Raw genomic sequence first — 17,029 nt, forward strand, 5'->3', positions numbered from 1 at the left:
TTAACTCTAAATCGACTAAAATTCACCTGCCCCCACCCACCTCTTCATTTTCCGATGAGGTCCTGAGGTATAAACAAGATTATGTCATCTGATCAACATCATTGATTCAGACAGTAAAGAACAGAGCATGGCCAAAAACATGGGGTTTTTCAGTCTCAATCCAGTGTTCCACTTCCAGACAGATTCCACTCATCCTTCCCGTGGCAAACTAATTACTGTGAGCAAGCTGCTTTCTTAAATAAAGAGCTGGAGGAATAGCAGTAAACGTAGACTTAATCTGAAATAAGAGAATGTTGAAATTTAACAGTAAGTTTTAATAATGAATCCTTAGAAGGAAAGAAAGTGAGTGTGAGAGACATAATAGCCAGGGGAAATCAAAACAGTTCTATAGCTAACGCTAAAGGACCATGTGTAACCAGAACAAATAAAATGCAGCCACAGTCTGGGAGGAAAAGGTAATATGCTGGTAAAGTTATTGGCAAGAGCAATTATATTTTTGATCAAAGAAGCAAGCAAAGTGAATTATTCTTTTAAGGCCAGTAAACTGAAGGAAGTGTAGTACAGTCATAGAGTCTTAAGATCTAATCTTAATCTTAAACAGGATTTCAAATATAAACAAGGCAAAACACACTGTAACTGTCAAATACTGGTACTGTGTGATAAATTGACAATGCCTTCCTAATGGTCTCAAAAAGGCATGAGTCTTGGAATTAAAACTGGAGTGAAGAAAAGAAAAGGAAATAAGTAAGAATAAAGTGGGAGAGGGAAGAAGAAGGAGCATGATATTAACGTACTAACCTGTCAACACACTGCTCTACTTTAAAGATGATTAGTGATAATCTATTTGTGAATATCGTGAGATGTTCTTCACATTCTGTTCCTCTGCAGATCTATAATTAAGAATTCCATGTTGTCCACTTTAATGCAATTTTTCAACTCATCAAGAATAAACAAGAAAACAAAATTATGTCAGCAATTTTTTACCCTCCTTGAATAAGTTATTACTTCCTCTAGGCAGATAGACAAATAGTTTTCTTCATAAACAGTAATAGTTTAGGAGTCAGAATCCTCTCCATTGAAAGTATTTCTACCATTCTATTGGCTTGTTATGCAATCTTGAGAGCTCTGGTTTACATAATATCTACTAAAACTGATTTTTAGATCAATATCAAAATGGAGATGTTTGGCATTTGATTGTATAAGCTCTATTTGAAAAATGTGTGATTTCAAAAGATGGGGATATGTTCAAGTTAAAAAGCAAAATATTTTAAACAGTAATTTCCAAAAAATTTAACTAGTGCACAAATATAACCCAGCAAGCCAATAGCCAAGAACAAGTGTCATCTTTTCTATTTAAAGGAAGAATCCACAATCAAAGAAATTATGCTGTTATTATGAAGCATACTCTGAGGTTTTAGTCAAAATGGCACTGTACACCACACTATTTTTTTAAATTCATGGAAAAAACCCACATTTGTAAATATGCTACTTTTTTCTGCAAATACAGAACTTAAAAATTCTCTTCAGAATTTGATGCCAATGTCAGCACATTCAGTATCAACCTCTGAGTTTTCATAATACTGTTTTCAAGTCAACATAAACAACCCATTCTAAATAACATCAATTCAGCTTGTGCACTTATTCAAATTTCTATTCATTCAATAAAATTTGGAACGCAATCCCTTTTTCATGCCAAAAACCTCATTTGCAATAATGAGCAACAGATAAGCAAGAAACGAGTCGTAATTAATGTCAAATTGGTCTTAAATTAGGGCTGTAGCTGTGACTTCAGAAAAGTCTTTTCTGTCCTGTCAACTCTTTTGCTAAGTAGCACTAGAGTATCCAAAGATAAAAACCACACAATTCTGTCTTAAAATGTAAATTTCAAGTCATCTTTAATCAAGACTGATGGGCTGAGGTTATGCTTCCTGACAGTTTTCATGGTATATAAAGTACATCATTTCAATCCCTGGGAGCTTACGTTTGATCTCCATTCTAAGATGCTCCATGAATTCAGTCAAACTGGACAGTCAGAAGTCTCATTCTGCAATCACTGGTTTATTAAATAAGGAATGCACTTGGATCTATAGGGATGAAACTAGTCCCTGTTGAATGGCTAAGCCAGTTGGGACTCTCTCTCTCTCTGAGGAGATGCTCGGCCACACCTCCGTGTCTGAGTTTCCTCACAGGTTGATCAAGCTCTCTTCACCAGTGCCACGCTGAGCCATATTGGAGCTGAAGACAAAAGGAAAATGAATAACACAGATCCTTTCTTTAAACTATTGGGTATTTTTGCATTAATGTAGATTTTTAACACATTGTGTTAAAATATTGTATTTTCTAATTACAAAAATTTTAGGCGACCTTTAAATGTTGTGGGCAAGGTGTTTGCCTCACTAGGCGTACCTAGCCCTGGCCCTGCTTGTTCATCCTGTAGATAGTTGAGGAAACACAGAAGCTGTTTGAGGGAAGTCAGGGGATCTATTCCAGGCTTCTCTGCAAGATAGGCATTGAATCTACCATTCCTGAACTTTTCTAGACTTTCTCCATCCAAAAGATGATGCTATGGGATATCTCTTCCCAAAATTTCTCTTAGAAAGCTTAATGTAGACCATGATTTTGCTCATGACACATTGCACTTTTCCTTTTTTGCTCTAGACAATTCAAAAGCAAAGAGTAATTAGGGAAATCGATTACATGAGTCAGTGAATGGACGAATGATAACTTATCTATCTCTGGAGAAAATGCTTATTTTCCCCAATAGAGTTTTCTATAAGACAACTAAGGAGAAATCTTTTAAAAATCAACTCAGCTGTGGATTTATTTAGACAAGCAGTGTATGGTCACTGGCAGTTCATTTTTTACCTGATGAACCCAAATGTACTTGCATGAAGACATCTTACACTGAGTAGCCTGAGGCTAAGTAGAGACCATTCATTCAGTTTTTACTTAGTACTTTTTGTTGTTAGACAGCTTATATATAATATTTTCTTTTTTCAATGGTGTGGTTGATTATTAAAAACAACTTTCCAGACCCGGTCACGGTGGCACACACCTGTAGTCCCAGCTATAGTCTGAGGCAGGAGGATCACTTGAGTCTAGGAGTTTGAGGCCACAGTACACTATGATCCTGCCTGCAAATAGCCACTGAACTCTAGCGTGAACAGCATAGCAAGACACCTCAAAAAGTTAAAAAAAAAAAAAAGACACTTTTCAGCTGCATTCGAGCCAAATTCAAAAATTTTATGGTGGGGAAAAACACATCTTAGAAACTAAGAAAACAGTAGTGCATACTCCTCAGTGTTGCTTTTTCTTACCAATACTTCAAGTTCCTCACCACCACAGCACTTGACACAAACCTGTGTGATTTTTCCCATCAAGTTCTGTCATGTTTGGTTTAGTAATCTCCTTTGCTACTCCTTCCCCACTGCTCTTTGCGGAGCAGAAACTTCTGTTTATTTCTGCATAGAACAGCACAGCTGCAAATGTCTTTAGCAAACATTGATTCAAGGAATGAATGAATGAATGAATGGGTAAATGAATGATACCCTCATATCTTTGCAGATAGCATCTATTTTCCCCAGCAGAAATATCTGCAAGCCATACAAGAAGAGGTATCCAAAGAGCTTTAAAAATTAAACTCAGTTATGTTCACTGCAGAAAATGTAGCAAATGTATACATTAATGTTCTCTGTTTCCCTTCTTATAAATCTGTTTCCCTCCCCTTCTCTTTTTCCCTCAAGGGATTCTTTAGGAGGAGCCAGCAGAACAATGCTTCTTATTCCTGCCCAAGGCAGAGAAACTGTTTAATTGACAGAACGAACAGAAACCGTTGCCAACACTGCCGACTGCAGAAGTGTCTTGCCCTAGGAATGTCAAGAGATGGTAAGACATTACCTTCCTGTTTCTTACTTAAGCCCTTTCAAATGGATGCTTTGCTGGAGTCTATTTAAGCTGCTGGAAGAATTCTAGATGAGGGAATTGGGGATAAGAAGAAAAGAAAATCACTGTGCTGCTAGTGCATTACAAGGAAAAGTAAGAATATACAAAAATAGAGCATTGCCTATGAAATAAGAAAGCAAAGACTTTACCATAGCTCAGGGAGCAACTTGTGCTAACTAGGTTTAGTGCAAGCCACATAGGCCTAGGTTGAAGGTGACCATCTGTCTAGGTTTGCCTGCAAATGAGGGATTTCCTGGGACATGAGACTTTCAGAGATAATACCGGAAAGTCCTAAGCAAACCAGGACCACATCTGAGTATGTTCACTGGGCAGGTCTGACTGGGCTTGCTTACTGTGTGGAGACACTAAGGAATTGCATATGCCTCTATGGGAAGCCTGGAAGTCCTGCTGGCTGGTCATAGCTACCCAGAGGAGGAATTGGACTATCTGAGCCCATAATGAAGTTTCCAAAGGCTAGAGCGAAGTCCAAGTCTTAGAAAGGCTGTGTAGGTGATGTCTTCCTCAGAATGTCATACCTTCTACACTCCACCTTGACGCCCACCCATGCTGAATGGCTTGGCTTCCCAAGGGAACATCTTAGAGTAATGAAAGAGGACAAATAAACTCAAACAAGATGAACGAAGAATTTCACCTAGCTTTGTTTTCCGTTTTCATTCATTCATCCAAAGTAATTCTTTCCCTGCTGACATTGGACACATCACCCTTGTATCATACAGTGAGTGGCCCTGAATCCTGGGGCCATTTCTGTCTTGTTCCCACTAAAACATCAGGCTCTGCTTAAAAGCACACACCTAAATGTTTGTTGAATAAACTATGGAAATCCCTTCTACCTAGAGCCTAAGACATAGACAATGCCCTGACACTTTCTGTCTTTATGTCAGTCAGTGTGGATTCTGGGCCTCTGGTCGCACTCCCTCTAGTGAAATTCAAGGCTGTATAGACACACACAAAACAAGAAACTTCCAAATTTTAAAGAAATGTGAATAATTGGCATACATTTAGTATAAAGGGATTTTGTGAGTGATTAGATTCTTTACCTTTTCTCTAATTCCCAATCCATCTAAACTTGTCCTGCAGAAAAGTACACCTATAAAACAAATTTGACCAAAAAAAAAAAAAAAACAGAATCTGACCTGAAACCCTTCAGTTTATAGGTAGCTTCCAAAGCTACAGAGACGAGGTTTCCAAAATTTTTCTATTAACTGATTTTTTTTTGTTTTACTTGTTTTACTTGGCTCACTAACCAGATATATTTACTCCTAAGATAAATTTATAGCAATGGGTACTTCTGTATAATCAAGGCAAATAAATTAAGAGAGAGGATTAAGTAGTTTTTGATACTTATTTCGTGTAATTATATGGGAATCTGAGTTGATGACTTTGCACTTCATTTCTACCATGTGGCAGTAGGTAGCACTTTAATTCGCAGTGTCCGAAAAGCTCCATTAATAATTGTGCAAAGAGATAAGCCATAGGGTATTTGATTTTGTTACTTCTTCCTACAATAAAAGGAAGTATCTTTCTGGAAGAGCAGGTCTAAGTCTGTGCTGGTGAACAGAATCATGGGCAAGAGATGAATATATGATCCAAGGCAGATTCAACAGATTTAGTGACATCAGCCCACAAAATTTAGACGGTCTGAATCCCGTAACATAAAAGAAATGTGTCGGGAGGATGGGAGGGTCATTTAACAGAGCCACAATTTATTCTCAAGAAGGAAGGAATTCATTGCAGCACATAAACCTCTATGCAAATAAGAGCAATATAGTGTCTAAGGACACTGAGGATTAAGAATAATGATTCATTTCAACTTTAGGTCCAGAGACAATCCTGAGGCTGCCGGGGACATCTTCAAAAATGCCTCCTAAGCACATCTTATGTGAAATTTATCATGAGGAGAAATGGTCACGGGGGTGTGGGTGGGGTGGGGAATCTGGAGAAGAAGGGGCTGTAGCAGAAGAGAAAACAAATGATTCTCTCTAAGAGAAAAAGCTGCCTCTTCACTATATCATACAGAGAAAGTTTGGTCTGAACCTTGATTAGAAAGGGTGCCTTATGCCAAGTAAATTATGCTAATACCAGGGAAGCTGAATAGGTTTTACCTCCTATTGATAAGTATTGCCTAGTATGTAGTATTGAATGATTCAAAAGCCCTGAAATTATGGTTGATTACCTATGTCTAGTAAAGGCTCAAGAATGAAAGACACGGTTATTTCTGAGTCAGAAGAATCCCTACCTTCTTCTGATTCAGCAAGTATTCTTAAAGTGCTCTAGAAATTGTACCAATAGCCAAAGTGAGGTGCCCTCATACCTAACTGCTTTCTACAGCCCCCTACTTCCCTCAGAGATAAAGTGGCATCTTCATTTTGGTATATGCATTTGCTCTCTGTCAATTAGGCTCCAAGAATGTTTATTTCATCATACCTGGCTGCTTAATGTGGCCACTAGGAAATAGCTTAAAATAACTGTTGAAAACACTGGATTTTCATTCTCTCCTGAAATTTCACTGCTATATCGGTTTATTAGCTATCGAATATATCAGAAGCCATCAAATTTATCAATAATGAATTTGTTCAAATTTAGCTTAAACGAAGAATCAAAAATCAAATCCACTTGGAAACACATACGTGTGTCTTTATGTGTATAAAAAGGTGAAGACATGTGTGCATGTGTGTGTCTGTGTGTGTGTGTGAATTGGCAGCATGCATAAGCCTACTGAATCTTCTCCATCATTTTATTTTTTTCTTTTACCTACACCCTTTACAAAGGAATCTTCAGGATAACTGTTTCCAATTGTGCTACTATAAATTGATACTCACTAGTATATGTCCTCCCAAGTGGCATGTCTCTACAAAAAGACAGAAGTTGCCCTAAAAGGACAGGTTTCACAGATTAAGCTTCTATCCAGAACTACATTGCCCAATCCACATGTCACTATTTAAATAATTTAAATTTAAATGAATTTAAATTAAATAAAATTTCAAATTCAGTTCTTCAGTCACACTAGCTATATTTCTAGTGTTCATTAGGCACATGCAGCTTGCAGCTACCATATTGGAAAGCAAAGAGAACATTTCAACATCACAAGGAGTTCTGTCGGAGAAAAAGAGGAAGGAGAAGAGAGAGATTTTAAAATAATGAATAGGCTTGGGTAGATTGAATCAGACTTCTAATACAAAGCCTACAGCACTAAAAAAAGGGTGGCAGAAGAGGCACATCTCTGAAGCTGAAAAGAGTTAAATTGAGACCAGTTTCATTGGTAAGCAGCAAAATGTAAATATAGAGAACTTTACAACCGAAGGTAGTAGATAAAATGATTTTGGAAATTTATAGAAAGTCATAGATTGATAGTCAGTTGGGCTCTCTTGAAACCAAAAACACATGTCCATGTGCTATGTTAATAGAAATCTTTGAAGGAGCTATGACTTTACTTTTTAGTTATATCCAAAACTTCTATTCCATTTAGAATACCACAATTCAAATAAATATAAAATGATTTCCGATACTTTCACATTAAATTGTTCTTTAGTATTATGGGATCAAAATGAGGGTTAAGAGCATATCATGAGCAAATACCACATCATTGAATATTTATAAGCACTTGCAATGTATACAGAATTGTGCTGGTTTCTTTAAGAGGTAGCAGTTTAACAAAAGGCTGTCTTTATACTCAAGTGAATGTCATTAACAGAATAACTCAAGTTTGAGAGGGGCAGACAGTTAAAATATATGCCAGTCTGATTAATATGTAGTGATAAGAAGAATGCTAATATCTGAAATATTAACATGGCCTTTGTTAAAATAGTTCTATGCATACAACAAATGTATTTACAAACAGTGAAAATGAATTATGTCAAGAAAGTCAGTAGGTTTATTTTTGCCATGTACTGTAATTTTTTTCCCAAATTTGTCACCACTGTTATTGCAAGAAGAGGCACAAAACTGAAACACTGGCTCATCAATGTTTCTGAAATAAATGGAAAATTAATTATAGAATAGTATTACAGTCATTGTCAGTGAAGTCTTTGATTTAGGATCATACCTGAAATAACTCTAAAATGTAGTAGTTTTAAGTTGTTTCTTTGGAAATATTTCAGTTGCTCAGTGACCTGATAAGTCAATTTTGTAAAAAATGCAGAGCTTTTCTTTGTTGAGTTTTTAGATGTTACCCATGGCAGAGGTCTTGGCAGCATACTCTTTTGACATTGTTAGCTTGTGATTATGATGTCTGTGGTTAACAGCAGATTTCTGTGTCCATCAGCTGCAGGTCAGTTCTATAGCTCTGCTGATTGTAGATGGCCTTGCCTGGGATGACCAAGGAGGTCTGGCTCTGCTTCACATATCCCCCAGCAAGCTTATCCTCTAGCAAGATAGCTCAGGCATGTCCTTGTCATGGTGAGGTGCACAATCACACGAGCCTTTTTCAAGTCTCTGCTGTGTCACATTTGTCAATATTCCATTGGTCCACAGTAAGTCACATGACCCTGGGCAGGATGCCTGCAAAGAATGAAAGAGCACTGCAAACTGACATGGGGAAGGGCATGGAAAGAAATAGACAAGAGGAATCAGGGTCATTAATGCAATCAGTCATCTACAAAGTATATTTCACCTAAATACAGAGTATACAGAAATCTAAAGCAAGGATTAAATGGAAAAGGGTTTTAAAAAAAAAAAACACAAATTTATGTTTTTGTGTTGGAAGAGTTTCTTATTCTCAATCTTTAATTCCTATAAATTTTGAACCAATAAAATGCAAAACTATTCTACTAAAATAAGTCGGAAAGTAGATCTACCCTAGCTAAAACAAAAATCTTGATCTATAGCAATGGATACAAACCTTGTATTCACTTCCATAACTCTACAACAAAGAGCTATTCTGAACCTACCCAAATGCAAAGGGCAGAAGGGCAGCAAATAAAGAGCTCTACTTTCCTGGGGGAGAAGGGGAAGTTCTTTCTGAATCAATATTTATAGTTGTTTATTTTTTCCCTATACAAAAGGTGTTTTTCCCCTAGAGAATAATTTGTAATAAATTGGTTAGAAAGATGTAATATAAAGATACAGAGGAAGCTTGCCCTACAAGTTACTGTAGAATTCGGTACATAGACAAACTGGAAATGTCACTGCAATTAGTAAGCAAATAAATTTGTCTATGAGAATCAGAATCTAATAAAGGTAGTGTCTCTACAAACAAAGTTAAAAACAACCATCTAAATAATTCAAGACCATGTAAAACCAACCACTAAGATGGAAAGGGGAGTTTAGTCTGAATGAGTCAGATTGTTTGTCTTCACACAGTAAAAATTACTAGATAATTATCACTTTGTTTTCCTACTTAGGCAGTATCAGAAAGCCAGAATGTAGGGGTTGGTTGCTTGGTTGGTTTGTTGTGTTTTGTTTTGTTTTTTGAGACAGAGTCTCCCTCTGTCACCCAGGCTGGAGTACAGTGGCTCAGTCTCGGCTCACTGCAGTTTCTGCCTCCTGGGTTCAAGGGATTCTCCTGCCTCAGCCTCCCGAGTAGCTGGGAAGACAAAGCACACACCACCACGCCCACAAGCACATACCACCATACTCGGCTAATTCTGTGTGTGTGTGTGTGTGTGTGTGTATTTTTAGTAGAGACAGGGTTTCACCACGTTAGCCAGGATGGTCTCGATCTCCTGACCTCGTGATCTGCCCGCCTTGGCCTCCCAAAGTGCTGGGATTACAGGTGCAAGCCACCGCACCCAGCCCTAGAATGTAGGTTTTTAAGAAGGATTAAGAAGATACAGAAAGAGTTTGGCTTCTTCAAACCCAGCCCTCACATCCACAATCCAGCAGGCAAGAAGGAGGAAAACATGCCCCAATACCCCCAAGTGAATGCGACACTTGCATTTACTTCCCCTTAATCAGAACTTAATCACCTGCACATACCTGCCAGTGAGGGGGCTTAGGAATTACGGTCTCCATTCTGATCAGCCTATGCTCAGATAAATATGGTAGCTCTGTACCCAATGGGAAAAGAAAATGAATTTTGGAAGAATATTGGAGGAGGAGGGTGAATGGCAGCTCTTTCAGACTGTGGGAATCTCTTCTGTGTTCCCTTTGTGCTAGAGAGTTCTTAAGCACTTCACCATTTAGATATTCTCAGAAGAGCATCAACCCTCATGATTGAATCCAGGAACTGAGCCTTTTTCTAAACTCCATTTCCTTCTTTCTCCATTCTCTGAGCTCCTAACACCAAGAGGTGGTGGGAATACCGTCACAAAAGAACAGCAAACAGAAACTCAGGGAGGAGCCTCCAAGTTTGTGGTAGCCCCCACTATTAACATGAGCTGAACAATGCTTGATAATTCAAACAAGGTAGGCCTGTGACTCAGGATGTTCACATCCTAAAAAGGCAGTTGACAACCTGTGAGGAGAAATGTCAATATTCACAACAGTTCAGGAGGTTAAATATCTTAAGAAACAACACACTGAAATGAAAGCACCTTGATATTACCCTGTGACTACTTGCAGCACTTCTTCCTTCTTTTTCCTCAGACTGCTGAGAATATTGCCAGAAGAGATAGGAAAAATAAAACTTGGGAGTGGTAGAATGAGAAAAGATAGTTACTGTTTTGGTCACTTGCTAGGCATTGGATGCCCCAAATTGCTATTTTCCAAAGAATCTTATCATTTGATCCCAAAAGCCAACTGAAGGCAAATGATGCCATCACTTAAAATTATGTTTATCACCCAGCCCCATGCCTTCGGTCTTACCCAACACACTATTTAGAAAATCGGCCTGGCCGGGTGCAGTGGCTCACATCTGTAATCCCAGCACTTTGAGAGGCCGAGACAGGAGGCTCACTTGAGGCCAGGAGTTCAAGACCAGCCTGGGCAATATAGCAAGGCCCCGGCTCTACAAAAATTAAAAAAAAAAAAAATAGCTGGACCTGGCGGCATGCACCTGCAGTCCTAGCTACTCAGGAGGCCAAGGTGGGAGGATTGCTTGAGCCCAGGAGCCCAAGGTTTCAGTGAGCTATGATCATGCCACTGCACTCCAGCCTGGGTGACAGAGCAAGACCCTGTCTCTTAAAGAAAATTATTATAAAAAATAAAAAGAAATTTGAGAAAGAAAACAGAAAATAGATTTGAAAGTGAAATACTAGGGTCCAATCTGGCAATCTAGTAATCCTAAAGATTAAGAGAAAAGTTAGTTATGAGTGTTGGTTAACATTTTAATAGCGGGTACTATTGCTAATTTGGTATTTTGGTTTTTTGCATTTTTTTCCACAGGTAAGAAAAAAAGAGGAAAACATGCTTTCTAACTTCATGGCAATGAGAAATACATACATAAGTTTTTATATTTCTTCCTGGCTTAGATTTATTTCTCACTGTGGGCATAAACCAGGACAGGTACCCTCTGAATATAACCTTTCCCCAGATGTGGAGTGCAAATGAATGGGTTCTTAAGTTATGGTGCTAGACATTTGTGCATTTGAAGTTGAAGGGACAACCATCCCATGACCCGTTGTACCTGAGGTGGTTAACGCGAATGATAACCACAAGTGCTGTTTTCTGCTTTTCTCTCCAACCCAGCTGTGAAGTTTGGGAGGATGTCCAAGAAGCAAAGGGACAGCCTGTATGCTGAGGTGCAGAAGCACCAGCAGCGGCTGCAGGAACAGCGGCAGCAGCAGAGTGGGGAGGCAGAAGCCCTTGCCAGGGTGTACAGCAGCAGCATTAGCAACGGCCTGAGCAACCTGAACAACGAGACCAGCGGCACTTATGCCAACGGGCACGTCATTGACCTGCCCAAGTCTGAGGGTTATTACAACGTCGATTCCGGTCAGCCGTCCCCTGATCAGTCAGGACTTGACATGACTGGAATCAAACAGATAAAGCAAGAACCTATCTATGACCTCACATCCGTACCCAACTTGTTTACCTATAGCTCTTTCAACAATGGGCAGTTAGCACCAGGGATAACCATGACTGAAATCGGTAAGTGGAAGTCTCCTCCCAGTGGCTTTTTTTGAGATTTTGCTTTGAATTTACCTTGGTCCTATTTAGTATGGTAATTTTCTTAAGACTTAAATTGAATTACTTGGATTCACAGCTTCTACTGAGAAAACAAATTGATTTTTAAATATATTCTAATAAATGTCATTTTTCCCCACCCCATAAAAGTTTATTTCAAGCAAAGGAAGAAAGAAGAAATTATAAATAGAAAGATGCTATCTGTAAAGAACAGATGCTATCTGTTGAATTTGGGTTCTCACTGAAGGAAAAATGTTATTGGTATAAACAGGGAAATTTCGGCATGTATTCAAAGTTGATGCTATTCAAAGTGAAATTGCTGAAGGATATAGAAACAGTGTGGAATAACCAAACGAACAGGGGCCCAACTCTTCCTCTAAGATAAATGGGGACAAACTTTAAGCAAACAGTATCTCAGCTTCCTTCTTGGTGAAGTCAGGGCGATAGACCAGAAGACCGCCAAGGCTCTTGGAAATCTGAATTCAAGAATTCCATATAGGATTCTGAATTACAGCAATGAAAAGAGTGTAGTCTGGAATCTTATAGAACATGAGAGCAACAAATAAGCTAGTCATAGGCATGATTGCATCAGAAAGCTGATCCTCTTTCCTTCGATTCCTAAGGAGCGATCTTCAAGAGTGCCCTGCCTTAGGCAAGCTCTCTTCTGACCCACTGCAACTTTGTTTTACTCCATCGAACTCAGGAGTCTATTAAATGTTTAACCAGTTAATCTCATCAACTAACTGCCATAAAAATATTGAAGTAGGTTTAACACATTACTCTCCTGGGTAACAGGGTTGCATGTTAACAGTAGGCTAGAAGAGCTAAGCAAACAGTGGCGATGTGATCCCAGGCTTCACTGCAATATTTAGTGTACTGGAGAAAGCAGGCTAGAGCTCAGGAACCTTCAAGGGCTCTTTACATTTCTTCAAGGGCTCTGCCCAAAGAGGTGGCAGAGCAGAGCAATTAAGAACTGTGCTACCTGAGTTTAAATCCTGGCTCTTTGGCTTACTATTTAAGCTGGAGCAAGTTTCTCAATCCCAGTTCCTTCATCTTTACAAGGGGGAAAGCATTAGCTTGTAGCTCACAGGGACATTGTAAAGCTTAAATGAGTTAATACGTGTAAACCATAGCAAGGTTTGGCACTCAGGAAGTGCTCAATAACTCTTAGCTATTACTGTTTTATGCTACATGCTCGGTCACCTTCTCTGTCTAACCTGCAAATAGGAGCCTAAAGCCTACAAGTGTTTTAAATTAAGCTGCTGTGAACACATAATGAAATACATGGCCATATTCTTGGCTACTTGTACCATCTGGTTGAGGAAGAAGCAATGTTACACAGTTATAAACCTGAAGCGTTATTTCTCCCTTTTAGCAATGCAGCATGTGACAGTGAGTAACATTGTTGACAAAGCACCTGTAATGACTTTCACAGCTGAGAGACACACAAAAAAAGAAACATCAACTAAAATAACAAAAATAGTTAATTATTACTGTCATCCTTAACTGTTTTTACTATATCATGGGCCCTTCACACGTTTACTTTTCACGAACATCTTAAAAGATAAATTAAAATAGTATTTCTGTTATACAGATGCTGAAACCGAAGCTTAGAGATGTCTCATAACTTCCCAGAGTCCTATAATTACTAAATGACAGAGCCAGGGTTCACCTCAGACAGTCTGATTCCAGAGTCCCTCCACTCCTCTGTTAACCTGCTACCTGCCATGGGTCTCAATTCATAGACTGCATTGTCAACTAATAGGGACGGTCATTTAAAATAGTCATTCAAACTTTTCAAGAGGGAAAAGGCACCTTCCTTTGCATTTATACTACTTAATATCTAAGTTCCTGAGTCTACTATTAATTTGAGAGATATGTTTGAATCCTTATAAAACAAAAACTCACAACAGTGGAGCAATCTTCTGGCCTATATTCAAAAGGGGAGTCTTCTAAGAATTAATAAATCATAACTTGTTTATGATTTAGCAACCACATTAAATATTATGGAAAGAGAACTACAGCCAAACCATCAGGTCTGCGTTACCCTGAACAAGTCATTTTTCCTCTCTGACCCTGAGTCTATTCTGTGAACTGACAGAACTGGACTAGAGAATCTCAAAATTTATCCAGACACTCTGCACAGACATTGACATGCAAAATAAACTCGCGTATATTTTACTCAATTATTTCAAGATACCTCTAGTCTTTAGATATCTTTAAATATGTTTCAAATTTTGGAGGATTTTTTTCATCAGACATTTAGGGATGCAAATGGGCTGTCCTGCCAGTGCTCTCAAATTTAGGAGACCCCTAAGCCTAAATAGTGGTTTGGTTCACATTTCATTAAAACAGCAATGCCACCTAGTGGACACAAACCCATTCTATGACTGTTGAATCTAGGTACCAATGAAGAGCCACAATAGTATAATATACTGTCTTTCCTGCACCGTCCAAAACATTGACACTCATTTCACTAAAATATTAAATCCTTGACAGTATCACTGGGCAGGAAGGCATCTGTGGTATAGTGTGGTGACTAAGAACTCTGCTTCTGGAGTCAAAGTGCCTGCATTTAAAACCCAATTGTGCCTTTTCCCTTAAACAATTTACTTAACTTCTCTGAGTCTCAGTTGTTAACCCAGGCCAATAATAGTCTTTATCTGTGTGTGTGGATTAAGTGAGTTAATATTTATGAGTTCTTAGTACAGTACCTATCATATGTAAGCACCATTATTATTAATAATATAACTGTTATTTTAATTGACTATTAGTATCACTGGTTATTGCAGATAATATAATTACCTTTTATCGAGCACCTACACTGTGATGAGCAAGTCCTATTTAAATTCTCATAACAATCCCATTATGCCTGTTATGTATTTGTATATTTTACTGATGGAAAAATCGAGGCTTAGAAGTTATATAACTTGTAAAAAGCAAAGAACACTTATAAGCCCATATCTGAGTAACATCAAAACCCATTCTTTTAACCGTTATACTGTATTTCCTCCCACCAATGGCAGCTCCTCACAAGTTGATTGCCATTCTCACCACAACACAGGTTTGGTGTTTGCTGCCTACCTGACCTCCTTCTAGGCACTACAAACTGGAGCTTTCAGAGTATGCACGCTGTCATTTTGACTTGATTTGATTAATGGGCATCTAAACCAATCTGGTTGGTGGCAAGCTGCCATAGAAAAAAACCCTATGCATATAAAACAGAAAATCAGATTTTGCCACATCCTGACTGGGTGAATTTGAGATTATGTCACACCAAAAAAAAAAAAAATTTAACATCACCCTTGGCTACCAGAAGTCCTGATCTGCTTCCTCTGGATTCTAAGAGAATAATGAAATGTATGCAACTAGGTCATTATGCTTCTGATATTGGGTCATCTTAAAAGCAGATCGCTTTTAAAAACCAGTTTTTAGACCAGTCCATATAGACTAAGATCTCATGAGTTTGAAATTTTTGATAAAAACACACATGTAAGAACCATAACACAACTATATGAGCAACTGCATGCAGATCCCAAAAAGTCAGTTTTTGAATATTAGCAGAGTCAGGAATACTCTCCCAAAAAAACAAACTTGTCTTGCTGAAAGTTCACCAACGAAACTACAAAATTCCTAGGTTAAGGGCTCTAATGATAATGTTTGATATATGGAGAAAAATGTAGAAAATCATTTCATGCATTTTAGTCATTTTGAGCCTCACACCAGTTCCTTCAGGTGAGCAGTGAAGAAACCATTTCATTGTACAGATAAAGAAATTGAGAGTCTGAGACAGTGAGTGATATTCCTAGGACAGAGAGTTAAGTGATAAAGCTTAAATTCTAAGGTTAAGGTTAAGTCACTGTCCTAGACTGCCAGGCATTTTTCTTCAAATACCTATTTTTGAAATGTGCCATACACTTGAGAAGAGCAGAACGAGGTTTCTGCCCTCACCATCTAGGAGATACCACGAAAATAAATAGTCACGACAATTCACCACATCCTAAGTATACGTTCTGGGCGGGATGCTACCACACTCTTCTGGAGGTGAGGGAGACGGCAAGTATTGATCAACCTGAGCCACATCTCTTATCAGGAATGTTTTATTCCCCTAGTTTTGAGAATAGAAATAAAATGTGGGTAAGCAAACAGAAAACCATGAAACATTTCAGGAGTTACATCCTTGGGTTTTTCTAAAACCATAGGAAAAAGAAGCCATGAAATGAAAGAATGGCAACAAGTAAGCCGAAAATTAATATTTAGACAGCAGTATTAACTGGGTTTAGCTGGAATTTTACTTCAAACTGGCGTGATGGATGTGTTACATCTTTAGGGATAACATTTTGCAGTGGTTGGTGGCAGGGAGAGGAAGCTAGCTAGCTAAAAGATGTTCCGCAAACATGCAGAAAAGGAAAGTAGAACATCTTGTCTTTGCTCCACCACTAACAAGCTGAGATGAGTTGGGGAATTCTGCAGGACTAATACTCTTAATGAAAGCTCATTTAAGCTGGAAGTGATTGGCAATGTATCTACAACGTCTCAGACAACAAGACAATTGAAACAGCCAAACAACATGCTTTTTTATATTTAAAAAAATCCATCAAATTAGCTACAATGCTAAGGGTGTACATTGCCTTTTACAAACATCACCATGGTTTGCTCTTCTATTCAGTAACTTTCTCTCCAGATAAAGACAATGAAATGTGAATTAACTGATCCCTTCTTATATTGTCTTTAACACAGACTTATTTTCATATTGCTTTCGTGTTCTATTTATAGAACCTGGAATGTTAAGCATCATAAATAAATATAAATCTCTTTTTTAAAAATTCACCTATTACAGAAACTGAGTATTAATAGTTAAAGGAGATTACAAAGAGGTATTGGCCTAAAAGCGATCTAGTCCCTGTAATGTACTACTTCATTCTATTAAGGCTACATAAAAATACAGAAGATTTTACTAGTAGTGTTTTATTTTGCAGAATTCTATTAAAAGTGGTGGTGCTTCAATTGTGGCTTATTAAGAACCCCAAGCAGATGCTTTGGTCTTAAAGCAGCATCTTTAATG

At 38.1% G+C, this 17,029-nt stretch overlaps 1 protein-coding gene and 1 long non-coding RNA gene across 3 annotated transcripts in view; one reads left to right on the forward strand and one right to left on the reverse strand.

Annotated features, from left to right (window-relative positions):
* RORB (RAR related orphan receptor B) overlaps positions 1-17,029 on the forward strand; it is a 195,843-nt gene that overhangs the window by 133,553 nt on the left and 45,261 nt on the right. For both annotated transcript variants that reach the window (NM_006914.4, NM_001365023.1), the window contains exons 3-4: positions 3,744-3,885; positions 11,527-11,928. In NM_006914.4, coding sequence (NP_008845.2) covers positions 3,744-3,885; positions 11,527-11,928 — 544 coding nt within the window. The remainder of the gene's footprint in view (positions 1-3,743; positions 3,886-11,526; positions 11,929-17,029) is intronic.
* On the reverse strand, positions 191-2,160 carry LOC105376088 (uncharacterized). The gene is made up of 3 exons (XR_929948.3): positions 1,982-2,160; positions 799-890; positions 191-277 (listed from the first exon to the last, which is right to left on the reverse strand). It is a non-coding gene; the product is annotated as an uncharacterized LOC105376088 (long non-coding RNA).

The sequence above is a fragment of the Homo sapiens genome, chromosome 9, assembly GCF_000001405.40.
Source record: "Homo sapiens chromosome 9, GRCh38.p14 Primary Assembly".
Classification (NCBI taxonomy): Eukaryota; Metazoa; Chordata; class Mammalia; order Primates; family Hominidae; genus Homo; species Homo sapiens.